The sequence below is a fragment of the Homo sapiens genome, chromosome 19 (assembly GCF_000001405.40).
Source record: "Homo sapiens chromosome 19, GRCh38.p14 Primary Assembly".
Taxonomy (NCBI): domain Eukaryota; kingdom Metazoa; phylum Chordata; class Mammalia; order Primates; family Hominidae; genus Homo; species Homo sapiens.
In genome coordinates, this window is record NC_000019.10 from 52,837,279 (window position 1) to 52,859,007 (window position 21,729).

Consider the following 21,729-nt stretch of genomic DNA (forward strand, 5'->3'; position numbering starts at 1 on the left):
GTATTTTATTTATTTTATTTTTTTTATTTTATTTGAGACAGAGTCTTGCTGTGGCCCAGCTGGACTGCAGTTGTGCGATCTCGGCTCACTGCAACCTCTGCTTCCAAAATGAAAGCCATTCTTCTACCAGCCTCCCGAGTAGCTGTGTTACAGGCACTCGCCACACCAAGCTAATTCCTACATTTTAGTCAACATTGTCTTGTCCCAACTTAAAATGACTTATGCATTTACAAAACAGTGATTTCTTTGGGGCATCGCCCCCATAACCTTTTCATAAAGCATTAATGATTTCATTGTTCCTCTACCCAAATTTCACCATATTCATTTTTTGAGACACTGTCTGTCTCTGTCACCCATGCTGGAGTACAGTGGCATGATCACGGCTCCCTACAGCCTCTAACTCCCAGGCTCAAGCCATCCTCCCACTGCAGTCTCCACAGAAGCTGAACCAGCAGGCATGTGCCACCATGCCTAGCTAATTTATGTATTTTTTGTAGAGAAGGGGGTTTCAACATTCTGCCCAGGCTGGTCTTGAATACCGGGGCTCACGTGACCCACCTGTCTCGGCCTCTGAAAGTGCTTGGATTACAGGCCTGAGCCACTGCATCTGCTCTCATCATAAATTTGATGTTTCTTCTTGTTTCAATTTTAGCAAAATTTACACTGCTTTCTTTTTTCAAACTCATGTCTTCCCCTTCTGAGTGCCTCAAACTAGACCCTGTTCAGACATGTTATAACAGATTTGTGCCAGTTTATTTTGGTGCAGAAAATGTGACATCATGTGCAATTTTCACATAATATGTATTTTTTTCATGAACTTCTTGAAGACCCCTTGTACTAGCGAACTGTATTCAAGAGGATATTAAAAGGATTGTAGATATGCAAGTGCCACTTATTTCTGGGATGCAAGGATGGTTCAACATAGTCAAGCAAATCAATGTGATATACCACTTGAACACAATGAAAGATGAAAACCACATCATCTCAATACATGGAGAAAAAGCATTTCACAAAAGTCAACATCAAGTCATCATAGAAATCCCACACAAAATAGATACAGAAGAAAATTTACCTCAGCAATACAAAGACCATCCATGAAATGACCACAGCAGAAATAACCAATCAGGGAAAACGGAATGCTTTTCCTGTAGGATCTCACATGATGCAAGAATGCTCTCACCCCTTCTATTCAATCAATACTGGCTGTCCTAGCCAGAACAATGAAATAGCAAAAGAAATCAAACTCATCCAAATCAGAAAGAAAGAAGTCAAATTTTATTTGTTTGTAGATGACATGACCTTCTGTAAAGAAAATCACAAAGAGTCAGCCAAAATGCAACTGGAACTAACAAACACATTCAGTTTATTTGCAGAATAGAATAACAGCACCAAAAATTAGTTGAATTTCCATACATTAACAATAAATAATTTTAAAAGAAAATTAAAAACCAATTCCATTTGCTAAAGAACTTAAAGTAAGAAATATTTAGGAATAAACATAAAAAGTGAGGTTTGTACCTTGAAATCTATAAACATTGATCAAAATGATTAAAAACATGTATAAATAGATATAAATCCCATACTGATTGGAAAAATGAATATCGCTCAATGATTATATACTCAATTGTGATTTAGATTCGGTACAATACTCATAGAAGTCTCTATAACTTTTTGTTAAAGAAACAAAAAACAGGCCAGGCACAGTGGCTCACTCCTGTAATCTCAGCACTTTGGGAGGTGGAGTCGGGTGGATCATAAAGTCAGAAGATAGAGACCATTCTGGCTAACACGGTGAAACCCAGTCTCTACTAAAAACACAAAAAATTACCCAGGTGTGGTGGCACACAACTGTAGTGTCAGCTACTTGGGAGACTGAGGCAGGAGAATTGCTTGAACCTGGGAGGAGGAGGTTGCAGTGAGCTGAGATCGTGCCACTGCACTCCAACCTGGGCGACAGAGCAAGACTCCATCTCAAAAAAAAAACAAGAAAAAGAAAATAAAGGCTGGGAAAAGTAGCTCCCATCTGTTGGCTAGGCTGTTCTCAAACTCGTGAGCTCCAGTGACCTACCTGTCTTTGCCTCTCAAAGTGCTGGAATTACAGGCATGAGCCATGGCCCCCAGTGCAATCCTCTTAACATAAACAGTTTAATGGCAATTAATGCTTGAAATCAATGTTAAATCAACAAACTCAGGTCAAGGCTGATTTGACTCTAATGTCAATTAATGCTTGATGGTTTGCTATACTCACTGCATTTGAAACAACTGTCTCCAAAAGGAATTGTCTGATGGTCTGCAAGGAGTGACCTTGGACTGAAGACCCTTCCACACTGATGACATTTGTAAGATTTCTGTCCAGCATGGATTCTCTGATGTCTAATGAGGTGTGAATGTGAAGTAAACGCTTTGCCACAATCATCACACTTGTGAGGTTTCTCTCCTGTATGAATCCTCCTATGTTTTGCATAGGATGAAGCTTGACTGAAGACCTTGCCTCAATCATGACATTTATAAGGTTTCTCTCCAGCATGAGTTCACCAGTGAAATGCAAGGCATGAACGATGTCTGAAAAATTTGCCACATTTATTACACTTGTAAGATCTCTTCACTGTGGATTCTCCAATGATGTGCAATGGTTGTAGCATTACTGAAAACTTTGTGACAATCATTACATTAGTCAAGTTTCCCTATACCATGGATTGCTTGATGGTGAATAAGTGGTGACTGCCCACTAAAGGGTTTGCCACACTCATTGCACTTGTAAGGTTTCTCTCCAGTGTGAATTCTAGTATGGGGTGCCACGTGTGAATCATTCCCGAAAGCCTTGTCACAAACCTTACATTTCTATGGCTTTTCTCCAGTGTGAATTCTCCTATGTATTTGAAGCTGGATTTGTGAATGAAAACTTTGTCACATTGTTCACGTTTGTAAGATTTCTATGCAGTATGAAGTCTATGATGACTTGCAAGGTGTGATTGTTGATTAAAAACCATGTCACATTCATTGTGCTTGTAAGGTTTCTCTCCACTATGAATTACAAGGTGTGAATTTTGACCTTTTAATTACAAGGTGTGAATTTTGACCAACGGTCTTGCCACACTCATTACACTTATAATGAGTTTCTCTCCAGTGTGAATTCTAGTATGTTTTGCCAGATATGCATTATATGCAAAAACCTTGTCACAAACCTTACCTCTGTATGGTTTCTCTTCAATGTGAATTTTCTTATGTGTTTTAAGGTTTGATTTACAACTGAAAACTTTTGTCACATTCCTCCCATTTGTAAGGTTTCTCTCCAGTATGAAGTCTATGGTGATGTGCAAAGGTTGCTTTTTGATTAAAAACCTTGCCACATTCATTATGCTTGTAAGGTTTCTCTCCAGTATGAATTGCCTTATGACTTACAGGGTTGAATTGTGATGGAAGGTCTTGCCACACTCATTACACTATTAAGGCTTCTCTCCACTATGAAGCCTATGATGGTATACAAGGGATGACATCTGACTGAAGGTCTTGCCACACTCATTACACTTGTAAGGTTTCTCTCCAGTATGAAGCCTACGATGGATTATAAGCGATGATGTCTGACCGAAGGTCTTGCCACACTCATTACACTTGTAAGGTTTCTCTCCAGTATGAACTCTCTGATGTTGTGCCAGGTGTGAATCCCTCTGGAAAGCCTTGTCACAAACCTTACATTTGTATGGTTTCTCTCCAGTATGAATCCTCCTGTGTCTTTCCAGGTTTGATTTGCGACTGAAAACTTTGCAACATTCTTCACATTTGTAAGGTTTCTCTCCACTATGAATCCTCCTATGTCTTTCAAGGTGTGATTTGCGACTGAAAACTTTGTCACACTCTTCACATTTGTAAGGTTTCTCTCCAGTATGAAGTCTATGATGGCGTGCAAGGGTTGATAGTCGATTAAAAACTTTGCCACATTCATTACATGTGTAAGGTTTCTCTCCAGTGTGAAGTATAGTATGTTTTGCCAGATATGAATTATATGCGAAAGCCTCATCACAAACCTTACATTTGTATGGTTTCTCTCCAGTATGAATCCTCTTATGTCTTTCAAGGTGTGATTTGCGACTGAAAACTTTGTCACATTCTTCACATTCATAAGGTTTCTCTCCAGTATGAAGCGCTTTGTGAATGAAGAGGGATGAATTATGACCAAAGGTCTTGCCACACTCATTACACTTGTAAGGTTTCTCACCAGTGTGACATCTACGATGGCAGGCAAGGTATCGCTTCTGATTAAAGACCTTGCCACATACATCACATTTACATTGTTTCTCTTCTAAGTGAATTATCTGATGTTTTTTTAAGAGTGAGCTGCAATTAAAGGATTTGAAGCTCTGTATACATTCAAAAGATTTTTCTCTCATGTGTACTTCCCATTTTTGTGTGAGTAATGAAGAATGGAGGGAATTATTTCCATACTTATTAGAAATATGGGTTTTGGGCCTACAACAAATTCTTTGGGATGTTGAAACTGAGGAAGCATTGTTGATAGACTTCTCAACTTGATTACCAATTTTCCCTTCAGACTGAAATATGTGCGGTTCAGGCAGATGCAAATGAAAGCTTGATCCAAGCTGATCTTTAATACGCTTGTTTCCAGCATGCCTTTGATCATGTTGGCCTGTACTACCAGCCAACTCTTTGATTTCTGTCATGGGTGCTGCATGGCCATTTGTTTCATCTTCTTTCCACTGAAACTCGAAGCCATGAATGTCTTTCTCAATTTCATGGAAACAAAATTCTCCAATGTGATGACTTGCTTGTCTGTGCAATGTCCCTGTGTGGATCACTTCTGTATTGCCTTGCCCTGTTGACGACAACGTCTTCAACATGCATTTGGAAGAGATATCTACAAAATTTAAACACCAATAGGTTTCCAATTAAGTACAGACGGTATATAATACTGAAATGTGTAAATATCACAGAAAAAAAACAATACTTATTTTCAACTTCCCAAACGTGAGCTTCAAAGTTTAGGAACACAAAAGGAGTAAGATTCTTTAATAAATAAAGGGCGATTACATGTGCTTCAAATCATTTCTATGGAAGCCTATTTCCAATATCATGACAAAACACTGACAGGGCACAAACACGTGTGAGTCTAAAGAAAGGAGTGTTTTTCCACTGTGACCCTAAAGTGTGTCACACTGTGCAAAATACATATCACTGTCACATCAGAGAAAAATATATATTCTCCATATTTACAGCGTATTTAGGGTATACAAATAAATGCTAAAGAACCACACAATATACTATATTGGTAAATAATCCACAACAAGCTCTTGTAAGAATAACCAAAATTAGTGGAAATTCTCTATTGTCAAACAATCACAGCACTGACAAGATAACAGAAGATTACAAAAATTAGCCAGGTGTGGTGGCCAGCACCTGTACTCCCAGCTACTCCAGAGGCTGCGTCACAAGTATTGCATTAAGCTAAAAGGCAAAGGTTGCAGTTAGCTAAGATTGCATCACTCCACTCCAGCCTTGGTGCAAAATGAGACTCCATCTCAAAAAAAAAAAAAAAAAAAAAAAAAAAGACATGGCATGGTGGCTTGTGACTCTAATCCCAGTAACTCCGGAGGCCGAGGAAGGTGGATCACCTCAGGTCAGGAGTTCAACCAGCCTGGCCAATGTGGTGAAACCCCGTCGCTACTAAAGACACAAAAAGTAGCTGGTATGGTCACAGGCACCTGTAATCCCAGCTCCTTGGGAGGCTGAGGTATGATAATCGCTTGAACTCGGGAGGCAAAGATTGTGGTGAGTTGAGATTGTGTCACTTTGCTCCACCCTGGACAACAGAGTGAGACTCTGTCTCAAAAAAAAAAAAAAAAAAAAAGAAAATGTTAATACCATATTTTTCTGAATAACTGTTACAAAATTACCTATATCCATGTGGAACAGTTATGTTGTGACTTTTTAAAAAATTTTTTGTATTTTTGTTTTTTTGAGATAGAGTCTCACTCTGTCACCCAGGCTGGAATGCGATGGCACGATCTTGGCTCACTGCAACCTCCACCTCCTGGGTTCATGCTAGTCTCTTGCCTTAGGTCCTGAGCACCTGGGATTACAGGCATGTGCCACCATGCCCAGCTAATTTTTGTATTTTTAGTAGAAATCAGGTTTCACCATGTTGGCCAGGCTGGTCTCGAACTCCTGACCTCAGGTGATCCACATGTCTTGGCCTCCAAAAGTCCTGGGATTACAGGTGTGAGCCACTGCACCCTGTGGCACTTTCTGACATTAATGGGGGGAGTGTGTCCGTTATATTGCATACCACATACCGAACACTCATATATAAATTCATAAAAATCAATTAATCAAATATTGCAACCCATGATAAAACAAGCAAGAAAATAATAAGTACATTTATACAGACTGAAGAATTCTAAACAATTCCCTCTTAAGAAAAAAGCCAAAACTTGTACTTATCACCAGCACACAGTGTAAGAACTGAAATAGATGTTAAGATCACTACCTTCTGATATATGAGGTCAAGAAAATACACAGCTTTACCAGGAACAAGAATTGACTAGCGGCCGGGTGCAGTGGCACATGCCTGTAATCCCAGCATTTTGGTAGGCTGAGGTGGGTGAATCATGAAGTCAGGAGTTGAAGACCAGCCTGGACAACATGGCGACACACCATCTCTACTAAAACTACAAAAAAATCAGCCAGGCATGAAGGAAGACGCCTGTAATCCCAGCTACTTGGGAATCTGAGGCAGGAAACATTTGAACCCAGGAGGCGGAGGTTGCAGTGAGACGAGATCATGCCACTGCACTCCAGCCTCAGTGACAGGATGAGACTTTGTCTCAAAGAAATAAAATAAGATAAATAACTACTTCTCAAATAAGCTTTGGTAGATGTGGTATTCTCTAAGAGGATGTCCCTGCAGATGCAGACATTGAGAGAATTTAGTCATGGGTGTTGACTACTCGTGAATAGGACTAGTGCATTTATAAAGGGACATTAAAGAGGTCCTTGCCTGTTCCTCTTTCCACCGTATTAGGACACAGCAGGAAGATGGCTGGGCTAAACCATGAAGAATGCTCTCACCAGGAAGCAATTTGGCTGGCACCTTGCTCTTGGATTTCCCACTTCCCAAATTCATTAGAAATAAATTTCTGTCTCTTAAGCCTGCCAGTTTAAGCTACATCCTTTTTTGTTTGTTTTTGAGATGGAGTCACGCTCTATCACCCAGGATGCAGTGTAGTGGCATGATTCTCCTACCTCAAGTGATTCTCCCTCCTCAGCCCAGGGTCTCACTCTGTTGCCAAGTCTGGAGTGCAGTGGCATGATCTTGGCTCACTGCAACCTCCACCTCCAGGGTTCTAGTGATTCTCCTGCTTCAACCTCCCAAGTAGCTGGGATTACAGGTGCACACCACCATGCACAGCTAATTTTTGCATTTTTAGTAGAGATGGGGTTTCACCATGTTGGCTAGGCTTGTCTCTAACTCCTGACCTCAAGTGATCAACCTGTTGCAGCCTCCCAAAGTGCTGGGATTAGAGGGGTGAGCCACCGCGGCCAGCCAGTCTAAGCTATTTCTAGCAGGACAGTGAAATGACAGAGACAGGAACAGGAGCATCTCATCATCAACATCACCAAGGGCTGACAAATCTTATTAAACAAAGGAAGTTAAGAGTCTGTACTGTAAAACTTGCAATACTTGAAGCCATCTACTAGCACTAACATGTTTTAAAAACCTTGAGACAGGCAAAGTGTGGTGGCTCATGCCAGTAATCCCAGCATTTTGGGAGGCTGAGGCGGGAGGATCACCAGGTCAGGAGATTGAGACCATCCTGGCTAACAAGCTGAAACTCCGTCTCTACTAAAAAAATACAAAAAATTAGCCTGGCATGTTGGCACTCACCTGTAGTCCCAGGTACTTGGAAGGCTGAGGCAGGAGAATTGCTTGAACCTGGGAAGTGGAGGTTGCAGTGAGCGGAGATGACACCACTGTACTTTAGCCGGGATGACAGACCAAAACTCTGTCTCAGAGAAAAAAAAAAGAAATGAAAGAAGGCTAAAGAGTAACTCCAACCAACAAGCCTATATAAAGTTCTCCAGACAGGGTGCGGTGGCTCACGCCTGTAAACCCAGCACTTTGGGAGGCTGAGGCGGGCGGATCACCAGGTCAGGAGATCGAGACCATCCTGGCAAACCAACATGGTGAAACCCCATCTCTACTAAAAATACAAAAATTAGCTGGGTATAGTGGTGCAGGCCTGTAGTCGCAGCTACTGGAGAGGCTGAGGAAGGAGAACTGCTTGAACCCAGAAGGTGGAGGTTACAGTGAGCTGAGATCACACCACTGCACTCCAGCCCGGGCAAGAGAGTGAGACTCCATCTCAAAAAACTAACTAACTAACTAACTAAATAAATAAAGTTCTCCAGTAAAGGTAAATAAAAAAACAGTCTAGGTGTGGTCGTTCATTCCTGTAATCCCAGCACTTTGGGAGGATGAGTCAGGCAGATAACCTGAGGTTGGGAGTTCGAGATCAGCCTGGCCAACAAGGAAAAACCCTGTCTCTACTAAAACACAAAATTAGATGGCTGTGGTGGCGCATGCCTGTAATCCCAGCTACTCAGGAGGCTGAGGCAGGAGAATCAGTTGTACCCGAGACGCAGAGTTTGGAGTGAGCTGAGATCGCAGCATTGTACTTCAGCCTGGGTGACAAGAACAAAACTCTATCTCATAAATACATAAGGTAATTAATTAATAAAAGGACAGATACAGAAACTGGCATATGTATACCTTTTCTTCATAACTAAACTTTTTTCATATTATTTGAAATAAAAGGCATGAAAAACACTGTACATATATGTTAACGGAAATGCAACATACACAGAAATAATTCTGACATAAATAAAAAAATTCTAGTGGAGAAGAAGTAGTTTTTGCAGGTTATGGATTTTTATTTTTTTCTGTCTCCCAGGCTGGAGTGCGATGGTGTGTTATCAGCTCACCGCAACCTCTGCCTCCCGGATTCAAGTGACTATCCTGCCTCAGCCTCCTGAGAAGCTGGGATTACAGCCACCCACCACCGCACCTGGCTAACTTTTGTAATTTTAGTAGAGTTGCAGTTTTCACATGTTAGCCAGGCTGGTTTTGAAATCCTGACCTCAGGTGATCTGCTCAACTCGGCCTCCGAAAGTGCTAGGATTACAGGTGTCAGCCACTGCACACGTTCAGGTTATGGAAATTTTAAGTTTTGTTATTATGCTATAACTTTAAGATGTTTAACATACCTGCAACAATAACCTCTGCCCAAATATCTGTACAACACACTTCACTTCTACGTACTGAAAGGAATGGACACTAATGTTGTTATATTCACACTGGAATCATGCTTAAACCACTTATATGTTTACAAAGAACTAAAAGACCAAACTATTTAAAATAGTAACAATGGTTAGGCATGGCAGCTTACATCTGTAATCTCAGCACTTTGGGAATCCGAGGCAGGTGGATCACTTGAGATGAGGAGTTTGAGACCAGCCTGACCAACATGGTGAAACCCCCCTCTACTAAAAACACAAAAATTAGCTGTGCATGGTGGTGTGCGCCTGCAGTTCCAGCTACTCAGGAATCTGGGGAACAAGAATCCTTTGAGCCCGGGAGGCGGAGGCTGCAGTTAGCCAAGATCATATCACTGCACTGTAGCCTGGGTGACAGAGTGAGACTCTGTCATAAAAAAAAGAAAGAAAGAAAGTAAGAGCAGAGAGATAAGTGGGTGCAAAGAAAGTGTGGGGAAAAGAGAGTTCAGATTGTTACTGTGTCTATGTAGAAAAGGAAGACATAAGAAACTCCATTTTGATCTATATTAAGAAAAATTGTTTCGCTTTGAGATGCTGTTAACCTGTAACTTTAGCCCCAACCCTGTGCTCACAGAAACATGTGCTGTATTGAATCAAGGTTTAATGGATTTAGGGCTGTGCAGGGTGTGCCTTGTTAACAATATGTTTGCAGGCAGTATGCTTGGTAAAAGTCATGCCATTCTCCATTCTCAGTTAACCAGGGACACAATGCACTGCGGAAAGCCGCAGGGACCTCTGCCCTAGAAAGCCTGGGTATTGTCCAAGTTTCCCCCCACTGAGACAGCCTGAGATATGGCCTCATGGGAAAGGAAAGACCTTACATCCCCCCGCCTGACACCTGTAAAGAGCCTGTGCTGAGGAGGAGTAGTGAAAGAGGGAGGCCTCTTTGCAGTTGAGATAAAAGGAAGGCTTCTGTCTCCTGTTCATCCCTGGGAATGGAATGTCTCGGTGTAAAGCCGACCATTCCCATTCATTCTCTTCTGAGATAGGAGGAAAGCACCCCATGGCTGGAGGCGAGATATGCTGGCAGCAATACTGCTCTGTTACTCTTTCCTACACTGAGATGTTTGTGTGAAGAGAAACATAAATCTAGCCTACGTGCACATCCAGACACAGTACCTTTCCTTGAACTTATTCATGATACAAATTCCTTTGCTCACATGTTTCCCTGCTGACCTTCTCCCCACCTGTTGCCCTGCTACACTCCCCTTGCTAAGATAGTAAAAATAATGATCAATAAATACTGAGGGAACTCAAGAGACTGGCACCGATGCAGGTTCTCGCATGCTGAGTGTGCTAGCCCCATGGGCCCACTGTTCTTTCTCTAAACTTTGTCTCTGTGTCTTATTTCTTTTCTGAGTTTCTCATCCCACCTGACGAGAAATACCCACAGGTATGGAGGGGCTGGCGCCCTTCAGAAAGATGTCCATTCAGAGATGTGAAAAATTAAACTTTCCTTTTCCCACAGAATTCTCCCACTTGCAGAGTTTCCTCACACACTATTTGAAGGTGGAACTTCCACTCTGCCCATCTGAGCTCTTACCTGCATTTACACCTGTAATACATTCCCACCCATCTGGATTTTTTTTGCTATTTTCACTTCACTCTCCACAGTCCAGGGCTTTTCCTTTGCTCCAATATGGAGATAACAGGTCAGAAAGAGACTCCTGCTTATAAAAAGCAAGGACCATAAAGTGCTGGAGCTTTCGTAGAGTCCCAGCCCTAGGTTTCAGTAGGAAAGAAGACATTACCAAAGGATCTAGGAAAACAGTTCACAAATTGCTCCACCTACTGCCTCCTTCTGAATGCTGAGGGAGCACTGTAATATGTAATATGTGGACATCAAGCTCTCTTCCAAGAATACTGAGTCAAAAGCATAGGAGAAGCAAACAGGAAACTGGATATCTTTAAAGTCTGCCATAAGGTTTTGTTTTTGTTTTTTGAGACAGAGTCTTGCTCTGTCACCCAGGCTGGAGTGCAGCAGTGTGTTCTCCACTCACTGCAACCTTGGCCTCCTGGGTTTAAGTGATTCTCTTTACTCAGCCTCTCTAGGAGCTGGGATTACACGTACGTGCCACCACACCCAGCTAATTTTTGTATTTTTAGTAGAGAAGGGGTTTCTCCATGTTGATCATGCTGGTCTCGAACTCCTCACCCATAGTGATCCACATGCCTTGGCCTCCCAAGGTACTGGGATGACAGGTGTGAGCCACCACGACCAGGCTGCCATAAGGTTTTATGCTTACTTTACTTCTGGAACCCCCACTGAGCTATCATGAAGAATGCAGAACATCTAAACAAAGGGGACAGTGAAAGTCCAGATGCTACATCATGAAGCTTTTCATTTCAAAATCAATATGGCTTCCATTTTAGTCAAGGAACAATGGGGTTCCTAAGAGACAATAAGAGAAAATGCAAAAATACACAAGGGCACATCCCCAGGAGGGAAGTTATCCTCACCCAGGGAGACGAGGTTCCTATAATTCTCCAGCATCACGTCCCTGTATAAAGTCCTCTGAGCAGGGTCCAGGCATTTCCACTCCTCCTGAGAGAATTCTATGGCCACGTCCCTGAATGTCAATAGACCCTGAAATGAAAACACATTTTAACCAAATGGTTATGGGAGGAGATCTTATCTTTACAAAAAATGAGAGGAGGAGAGAGGGGAAAGCATGGATTTAACTGTAGAGAATGTTCTGACAAATCCAAATAAGGGATTTCTCACTACATGATGTCTCCCCAGATGTATTTTATTACACTTTTTGAGTATTATCAAGACATACTCTCAGTATAAATTTCTTATGTTTGTGAAAAATAACAGAAATAAACAAATAAAAAATCAATGTAGGGTTCCTGTTATAAAAATGTTTGAAACTTTTATAGACACACCAAGTGACATTCATTATCTAGATGAGACAGAGCACAACTGATATCTTAAAAGATGACAACGTCCACAGTAAAAGATAGGCTGGGCACAGTGACACATGTCTGTAATCCCAGCTATGCAGGAAGCTGAGGCAGGAGAATCACTTGATCCTGGAAGGCACAGGTTGCAGTGATCCCAGATCGCATCACTGCACTCCAGCCTGGGCAACAGAAACTCCATCTCAAAAAAAAAAAAAAAAAAATTAGCCAGGTGTGACGGCAAGCACCTGTGGTCCCAGCTACTTGGAAGGGTAAAGAGGTAGGATGGCTTGACCCTGAGGGTGGAGGTTGCAGTGAGCTGCAATCCCGCCAGGGCACTCAAGCCTGGGCAACAAAGCAAGACCCCGTCTCAAAATAAAATAAAATAAATGAAAACAAAATTACTCAAAGTACAAAAATCAATCGTGTATATATATGTTCACAAAATAATAAAACCTACAGAGACTCACAAAACACTAGATGTGAATACAAAGGGTTGTCATTTGTCCCAGATTTTCAAAATACAAAAGATTTTCAAAATATATACATATGTGTATATATGTATTTATATGTATATGTGTGTGCATGTGTGTGGGGATGTGTATGTACATATATAAAGTTTTTAAAAATATAAAAAGTAGCAAGTTTTGTTTAATGAAAGAGGAATCTCATCTTGCTGGAAAAGGATACTTTGGCAGTTGTGGGCAGGGGGAATCTTGTCAGATCTAAGAATATGGAAATGCCCCATCCTAGAAGCAGTAATCACCCTTTCAACTGCCTGACCTGGAGGAATCTTCAGATATCTGTAGTAATGCGGGTGTGCACAGAGGCAGCCACTATGGCACTCTTTATACAGGGAAAAATCGCAAAGGACCCACGTGTTGTCATTCAGCCAATTTCCAATGCAGATGTCAAAAAGCAAGCTAGCCATGTTCACTAACATGACAACATGTAAATTCACAATTAGCAAAATCAAATATCAAAGTAAAATATTTACTGGGACACAAAGAAGAAAACAACAGACACTGCAGTCTACTTGAGGGTGGAGCGGGGAGGAAGGAGAGGAGCACAAAAAATAACTATTATGGGCCGGGCGCGGTGGCTCACGCCTGTAATCCCAGCACTTTGGGAGGCCGAGGTGGGCGGATCACGAGGTCAGGAGATCGAGACCATCCTGGCTAACACGGTGAAACCCCATCTCTACTAAAAATACAAAAAATTAGCCGGGCGTGGTGGCGGGCGCCTGTAGTCCCAGCTACTCGGGAGGCTGAGGCAGGAGAATGGCGTGAACCCGGGAGGTGGAGCTTGCAGTGAGCCGAGATCGCGCCACTGCACTCCAGCCTGGGCGACAGAGCGAGACTCCGTCTTGAAAATAAAAATAATAATAAATATATATATATATACACACACACATCATGTGATGATAAATATAACAATATATATTTAATAATAATTGGTGGGGCTGGGTATGGTGACTCGTGTCTGTAATCCCAGAATTCTGTGCGACTGAAGCAGACAGATCACCTGAGGTCGGGAGTTCAAGACCAGCATGGCCAAAATGGTGAAACACTGTCTCTTCTAAAAATACAAAAAAAATTAGCCACGGGTGATGGCACGTGACTATAATCCCAGCTACCTGAAAGGCTAAAACAGGAGAATCACTGGAACTTGGGAGGCAGAGGTTGCAGTGATCTGAGATCGTGCCACTGCACTCCAGCCTGGGCAACTGAGAATTTGTCTCAAAAAGAAACAAACAAACAAAAAAGCTGGGTGAGGTGGCTCACGCCTGTACTTTCAACACTTTAGGAGGCTGAGGTGGGCATATCACGAGGTTAGGAAATGGAAACCATCTTGGCTAAAAAGGTGAAACCCTGTCGCTACTGAAAATACCAAAAAATTATTCAGGTGTGGTGGCACTCGCCTGTATTCCCAGCTACTCAGGAGCCTGAGGCAGGAAAACTGCTTGAACTGGGAAGGCAGAGGTTGCAGTGAGCCGAGAACACCACTGAACTCCAGCCTGGGCTGCAGAGCAAGATTTCGCTCAAAAAATAAAAATTAAAATTAATCAGGCATGGTGGCACCCACCTGTGGTCCCTGCTACCTCAGAGGCAGAGGTCAGGATGGCTTCTTGAGCCTGAGGGTGGAGGTTGCAGTGCGCTAAGATCACGCCACTGCACTCCAGCCTGGGCAACAGAGTGAGACCTTCTCTCAAAATGAAATAAAATATATGAAAACAGAATTACTCAAAGTACAAAAATCTGTTTTGTATATATATGCCCAAAAAATAATAAAACCTACACAGACTCACAAGAAATTAGATGTTAAGAAAAAGGGTTGTCATTTTCCCCAGATTTTCAAAATATATGTGTTTGTATATATGCATGTATATGTATAGATGTGTGTGTATGTATGTATGTATATATTTATTTATATATAAAGGTTTTAAAAATACAAAAGTAGCAAGATTTGTTTAACTGAAGAGGAATCTCGCCTTGGGGGAAAGGATACTTTGGCAGTGGGAGGAAAGAGAGGAGCAGAAAAAATAACTATCGGGCCCGGGCACAGTGGCTCACACTTGTAATCTCAGCACTTTGGGAGGCTGAGGCAGGTGGATCACCTGAGGACAGGAATTCAACACCAGCCTGGCCAACATGGTGAAACTCTGTCTTTACTAAAAATACAAAAATTAGCCAGGCATGGTGGCTGGCACCTGTAATCCCAGCTACTTGAGAGTCTGAGGCAGGAGACTCACTTGAACCCAGGAGGCAGAGGTTTCAGTGAGCCGAGATCATGCCATTATACTCCAACCTGGGCAACAAGAGCAAAACTCAGTCTCAAAAAAATAAATTTTTACAAAAATAACAGCCAGGCATGGTGGCTCACGCCTGTAATCTCAACACTTTTGGAGGTTGAGGCAGGTGGATCACGAGGTCAGGCATTCAATACCAACCTGGCCAAGGTGGTGAAACACCGTCTCTAGTAAAAATACAAAAAAAATTAGCTGGGCATGGTGGCGGGTGCCTGCAATCCCAGCTATTCAGGAGGCTGAGGCAGAGAAATGCTTGAACCCAAGAGGCGGATGTTGCAGTGAGCCGAGATCACACCACTGCACTCCAGCCTGGGTGACAGAGTGAGACTCCATCTCAAAAAAAATAAATAAAGCAAATAAAACAAAAATAACTATTGGGTACTGGACTTGATACCGGAGTGATGAAATAATTGGTACAACAAACTCCAATGACGTGAGTTTACCTCTGTAACAAGCCTTCACACATAGCCCCAAAAGTAAAGTAAAAAAATATATAAAATTTTTTTTTAATTTACAATGGAATTTTTTTTTTTAAGATGGAGTCTTCCTCTGTTGCCCAGGCTGGAGTGCAGTGGTGCAATCTCAGCTCACTGCAAGCTCTGCCTCCGAGGTTCAAGTCATTCTCCTGCCTCAGCCTCCCAAGTAGCTGGGACTACAGGTGCCCACCACCACACCCGGCTAATTTTTTGTATTTTTTAATAGAGACAGGGTTTCACCATGTTAGCCAGGATGATCTTGATCTCCTGACCTTGTGATCCACCCACCTCAGCCTCCCAAAGTGCTGGGATTACAGGTGTGAGCCACCGCGCGTGGCCCAGAATTTTTTTTAAAGTCTCATAACGATGCAGAAATACACGTGTACGAGACTTGCTCTGACAGCTAACACAGAACTGACAGGAGTGGCTCCCCAGTGAGGCTGGAAGGAGGGTGGAGGATGTGACAGGGAAAGGAGATGTCTTATGGCCAAGGGTCTAAGCTGCAGCTTTGCTTGGAGTTTTACCACAAAACAAATATATATATCATGTGATGGTGAAATATAACCATTTATATTTAATAATAACTGGTGGGGCTGGGCATGATGGCTTGCGCTTGTAATCCCAACACACTGGGGGGCCGAGGCGGGCAGACCACCTGAGGTTAGGAGGTTGAGGCCAGCCTGGCCAGCATGCTGAAACGCTGTTTCTACTAAAAATACAAAAAAATTAGCTGGGCGTGGTGGTGCACACCTATAACCCCAGCTACTAGGTGGGCTGAGGCAGGAGAATCACTTGAACCCAGGAGGCGGAGGTTGCGGTGAGTTGAGATCGCGCCATTGCACTCCAGCCTGGGTAACAGAGCGAAACTCCATCTCAAAAAATAATAATAATGAAGGAATGATTCATGAATTATTCATGTCTATGTATGAACTTTCCATTCTAATTAGTAAGATTTTTGGAGTCAGAAACACAGTAACTCACTCCATTACCTAAAAATGTGGTATAAAATCAGGGAGAAAAGATTTTCCCTTATTGGTCTCCTTTTCTAGAACTTACCACGTACTTCGTGCATATTAATACGTGACTCCCATTGGCAGCTGCTCCAATCCTGGTCCACAGTGAGCTGACAGTGCATCCAGATGTGGCCCCTGAACAATCCCTGCTGCCCAAGAGCACTGACACCACAGGACCCTCACCCCGTGTCCATCCATGTCGGGGTGTGAGCCCTTCCCAGGACCTGCCCAGTGCAGCCTCTTCCCAAGTTCATGACACTGGGTCACGAGAGACGGAACCTAAGCGAGATGAGAGGGACTGAAGGAAGGCATAAGTGAGGGTGAGCAAACATGTCAGGCAGGTCATTCAGACCCAGACATTCCCAACTCCAAGGCCCAGGGTATCTGAAAGGAAGGAGACAGAACAATCCACCGAGGATATCATCTCACCTGAGGAAGAGCCATCCCTGACTCCTTTGCTTTCCTCTTCCTCTTCTGGGTTTCTTTCTCACGTACCAACAGTCTTTAGAAGTCAATCCTGAATGTTAAAAATATGTTGTTTATCACTCAGAATCAACACACCCCCTCCCTTAACACAATGACACAAACATAGGAGACCTCACCCTGGGAAATACGGTCCCCTCTGCTGCCCACTGCACAATGAACAAAAAATTCCTACAGGAAAACTCCCACTCTCCTCCTGGAGAAGCCCACACACACGCTGCAGCAGTGGGGAGCTGGGCTGGGATGAGCTCCCCTTCAGGAAATCTCTACCAAAAATACAAAAACTTAGCCAGGTATGGTGGTACGCATCTGTGTGTCTGTGGTCCCAGCTACTTAGGAAGCTGATGTGGAAGCATCATTTGAGCTCAAAAGTTTGAGACTAGCCTGGCCAACATGGTGAAAGCCTGTCTCTACTAAAAATACAAAAATTGGGCCGGGCACATTGGCTCATGCCTGTAATACTAGCACTCTGAAAGGCCAAGGTGGGTGGATTACTTGAGGTCAGGAGTTCAAGAGCAGCCTGGCCAACATGGTGACACCCTGTCTCTACTAAAAATACAAAAAGTAGCCGAGATTGGTGGGTATCTCTAATCCCAGCTACTCGGGAGGCTGAGGTAGGAGAACTGCTTGAACCTGCGCGACCCGAGATCGCGCCACTGCACTCCTGCCTGGGTGACAGAGTAAGACTCAAAAATAAAATAAAATACAAATACAAAATTAGCAGGGTGTGGTGGCACACACCTGTAATCTTAGCTACTTGGGAGGCTGAGGCACAAGAATTGCTTGAACCCAGGAGATACAGGTTGCAGTGAGCCAAGATCACAAGACTGCACTCACAGCCCGGAGGACAGAGTGAGAGTCTGTTTGAAAAAAAAAAAAAAAGTGCATTTCTGATGGGATTGACACAGAGATAAGAAGACTTGAGTAATGCCATAGACACTGATGGGTAGAGGGAACTTCAGATGGGGGTGGGAGGGCATGGGAGACAGCTCTGAGCCTAGACCTGAAGGAGAAAGGGACAGTGCCATCTTCATTTAGAAACATTGAATAAGAGCAGGGACAACAACCTGAGACAGGAAGGATTTTGATGTTTGAAAAAAGAGAAAAGCAAATGTGACTGGGGCAGAGGGAGTCAGATGAGGGTAAGCTCCCAGGAGGAGGCTGGACACTGGCAGGGACCCTGAACACAGGGCTGTGGAGCCAAAGTGAAGAGTCGGGCTTTTGTCCTGGGGAACACGGGAAGCAGGTGGAGGGTTCCCTGCCAGGCACTGACATGACCTGCTTTAGATGTAGCTGTGATATTCTAATACAGACAAAGGCCTCCAAAGATCCTCTCTGTTTCTGAGTCTACCGCTCTGTTTCTTCCATTCTTCTGCTTTTTTTTTTTTCATTTTTGGGGTACTGCATCCCACTGAAAATTCTAATTACAACTGGGCACTCTCCTCTACCAGAAAAAAAGCCACACCCAGACACCGCCTCTATTTTGCCAATCATTTCAGGGGTCAGGATCACTCAGGTTGAGCTTTTCTGGTCTAGCCCTTCGTCGCAAAGATGCAGGGAGGTTCACTGGGGCTCAGAGCTGGAAACATTTTCACGAAGTTACCCTGAGAAGGTCTGAGATGAGTGAGAAGGTGTGCCTGAATTCTTACATGGGGGCCTGGAAGGGCTAATGGGATGGGTTGGTCTTATCATCCCATTCTTAAAATTAGAGAAGCATTTTTCACATGCCTGGGTTAAAGAAAATTCTTTTGAAAGGTTCTGATGAAATTGACTCCCAACATTGAATTCTTCCTTACAAGAAAATCACACTAACATTTATAAAATGCAGCAGTGTAAACACACAGCTCTTGACCTTGAAAACAGGGAAACAGGGTCAGCTGTAGAACCAAGACATAAGCAAATTATTTCAATCAAGAAATACATGGGTGGACAGCTGAGGTGGTTCACACCTGTAATTCCAGCACTTTGGGAGGTGGAGGTGGGTGGATTACCTGAGGTCAGGAGTTTGAGACCAACCTGGCCAACATGGTGAAACCCTATCTCTACTAGAAATACAAAAATTAGCTGGGCTCCATCCTTGCAACTTATTTAACCTCCTGTTGGTCCTTCTCCCCAATCTTTAGATCGTCCTCAATCTCCATAGATTTCTGCCTCTTCTCCCATCTATGCGCCTCCTCTGCTCTCCCTGTTAAATTCTCTCTTCTCTGTTATAACCCCCTGGACCCAATCTGGCACCCCAGATCCCCAGGTGTCCTCCCCGCTGTGCTTCTCCCTCTGTTCTCCTTGCCACCAGCACCACTCTGCTCTGTCTGACCCGGCTCCACATCCCTCCTCCTCTCCCTCACTCTGATGAGCCTCCACATTTCTGCCCCTCTCCCTACCTTGCTGTCCTTCATCTCTCTGTACATCTAGCTTTTCTCTACATTTCTCCAGTTGCTTTTCTCCTCCTGCTTTCTTATCTTTTATCACTTTTGCTGTCTCTTGGCAAATCCCTCACCCATCCTCTACTTTGCCATCTGTTATGGGTCTTTCTCATTCTTCTTTTCTCTGTCTCAGGTTTTCTACTGCTCTCTCAGTCCCTCTCTCTGTCTCCTGATCCCTTTGGCCCACACGATCACAAGAGGGTTTGGAGTAAGACGCCTGCATCTCGGAGAAGCGCATTTTCCAAGTGCTGGAGCTGGGCGGGCAAGAACACCCCGCGTCACAGGACAAGCCCCAGGCACCTCTCCAACGAGGGCTCAGGGGACGCGGTGACTGCGGAGGGGAGATCTGGGGAGCAGCAGGGCCCAGCAAGAGGAGGAGGGAGGTGGGGAGCGACGACGCCTTCGGACAAGGGTGGGATCCGCAGGATCCCAGGACCACAGAACGCAGCCTTCCCGGGACTGGGGTCGCCGCGCTGTGCTCCAGGAACCCAGGAGAGTAAGGCTGGGAGGCGCACAGGGTGGGAATACACCTCTAGGGTGAGGACTTTAAAAAGAGCCGTGCGGAAGGAGTCAAAAAACGGTTTTGAGCAGGAAAACTACGCGATAGGAAACGTATACATTGCCCTATGGCAGAAAGACCCGGGACGGGACCAGCCTCAGGGCGACTTTAAACCTAAAAAGAAGGGGCTTCCGGACTCCCAGTAGAACATCTCCATTTGCTCTGAGTGAAGGAAGAAAGGCGAGAACTTCCAGGTCTATGGGGACCCCACATCCCATGTACAGAAGTGCCGGGGACCTGGGAAGCTCAGACTTAACACCACACAGAGCAAAACTCACCGCCCGCCGCGGCGTGACCGTCATTCCACGGGATCCACTTCCTGGTCTGCGCGAATCTGCGCGCGCAGGACAGAAACCAGGCCTGGGTGGAGCCAACGAGGAGGCGAGCGGGGCCCGGGTGAGGTGTGGGCGGGGCGCGAAGCGGCGAGACCTTGCCCTTTAGAACCCGCAGAGGGCGGGGCCGGAGCGGGACCTGTGCATCTCTCAGCCTCCTCCCAACCCGTTCTCCGGGTTTTGGCGGCGAGAGCCCCCAGGAAGGCAGACGGATAATTCAAAAGCCCTGGAATAGTCTGGAAGGAGGATGCAAACTAGAATGTAAAATGCAAAGCCCTTTCTGGGCGGAACGTAGGATTTCATGCTGATGGCCCACAGGACAGTATAGAAATCTTCTCCCTTTCTATTCTCCATTCACTCAGGAGGGAGAGTCCACCCAGTGCTCAGCTTCAGAGACATCCCTAGGGCCACAGCCTGGGATGCCAGACGGAGTGCTCAGGCCAGGGAGGAGTGAGGTCACCACCTGCTGCTTAAACACAGCAGGGATGCGGGCGTGGGAGCCTGAGGTCCCAGCTACTCAGGAAGCAGCGGCGGGAGGATCGCTCAGCCTGGGGGTCCAGGACAGCCTGCGCGACAATGTAACATTCCCTCCCGCAGTCTCTCTCTTTTTTAAATTTTTAAAATAAAATTTTTATTAGGCCGGGCACGGTGACTCACGCCTGTAATCCCAGCACTTTGGGAGGCTGAGGCGGGCGGATCACGAGGTCAGGAGATCGCGACCATCCTGGCTTACACGATGAAACCCCGTCTCCACTAAAAATACAAAAATTAGCCGGGCGTGGTGGCGGGCGCCTGTAGTCCCAGCTACTCAGGAGGCTGAGGCAGGAGAATGCGGTGAACATGGGAGGTGGAGCTTGCAGTGGGCCGAGACCGAGCCACTGCACTCCAGCCTGGGCGACAGAGCCAGACTCCCTCTCTAAAAATAAATAAACAAACTAAATTTGCTTGTGTGAGATAGGAATACAACATTACTCTTCTCCATATGGATATCCAGTTAGTTGTCCCAGCACATTTGTAAAAGAGATCTGTTACTTTCTCCTTTTTATTTACATTTTTTCTTTTTCTTCTTCTTCTTCTTTTTTTTTTTTTTTTTGAGACTGAGTATTTCTCTGTCGCCCAGGCTGGAGTACAATGGTGACATCTCGGCTCACTGCAGCCTCTGCCTCCTGGGTTGAAGCGATTCTTCTGCCTCAGCCTCCGGAGTAGCTGGCATTACAGGCACACCCACCATGCCCGGCTAATTTTTGTATTTTGGGTACAGACGGGGTTTCATCATGTTGGACAGGCTGGTCTCGAACTCCTGACTTCAAGTGATCCGCCTGCCTCGGCCTCCCGAAGTTCTGGGATTACAGGCGTGAGCCACTGTGCCTGGCCCAAGAAAT

At 44.4% G+C, this 21,729-nt stretch overlaps 1 protein-coding gene across 7 annotated transcripts, besides 1 other annotated feature; it reads right to left on the reverse strand.

The window, feature by feature from the left end:
- Positions 1–731: 731 nt before the first annotated feature.
- On the reverse strand, positions 732–20,341 carry ZNF468 (zinc finger protein 468). Of its 7 annotated transcripts, none has more exons than NR_102300.2 (6): positions 20,294–20,341; positions 16,980–17,067; positions 16,594–16,829; positions 11,809–11,935; positions 7,901–8,018; positions 732–4,873 (listed from the first exon to the last, which is right to left on the reverse strand). NR_102300.2 is itself a non-coding variant. In NM_001277120.2 (5 exons), exons 2-5 carry the CDS (start codon positions 16,992–16,994, stop codon positions 4,750–4,752), a joined length of 384 nt encoding a protein of 127 aa, NP_001264049.1. In that variant the 5' UTR covers positions 16,995–17,067; positions 20,294–20,341; the 3' UTR covers positions 732–4,749. The 7 variants fall into 7 exon arrangements, 4 of the variants coding, with proteins under 4 accessions (NP_001264049.1, NP_001008801.1, XP_047295570.1 ...); NR_102299.2 differs by having other exon boundaries at positions 16,594–16,848; NR_102301.2 differs by lacking the exon at positions 7,901–8,018 and having other exon boundaries at positions 16,594–16,848.
- Positions 19,940–20,019: an enhancer, noted in NCBI's record as "active region_15057". NCBI's record gives its function as "activates an Ori minimal core promoter by ATAC-STARR-seq in GM12878 lymphoblastoid cells {active_cell/tissue: GM12878}" and the evidence as "EXISTENCE:reporter gene assay evidence [ECO:0000049][PMID:35858748]".
- Positions 20,342–21,729: the final 1,388 nt, after the last annotated feature.

What these genes read in the sequence shown, in the direction of transcription:
- ZNF468 (XM_047439614.1), bottom strand. Translation starts at nt 16,672, where the DNA reads ATGCACTGTCAGCTCACTGTGGACCAGGATTGGAGCAGCTGCCAATGG. An exon ending in CACGTATTAATATGCACGAA is followed by an intron (nt 11,936 to 16,600) that starts GTACGTGGTAAG and finishes TTTTCATTTCAG; the next exon opens with GGTCTATTGACATTCAGGGA. An exon ending in TAGGAACCTCGTCTCCCTGG is followed by an intron (nt 4,874 to 11,808) that starts GTGAGGATAACT and finishes TAAATTTTGTAG; the next exon opens with ATATCTCTTCCAAATGCATG.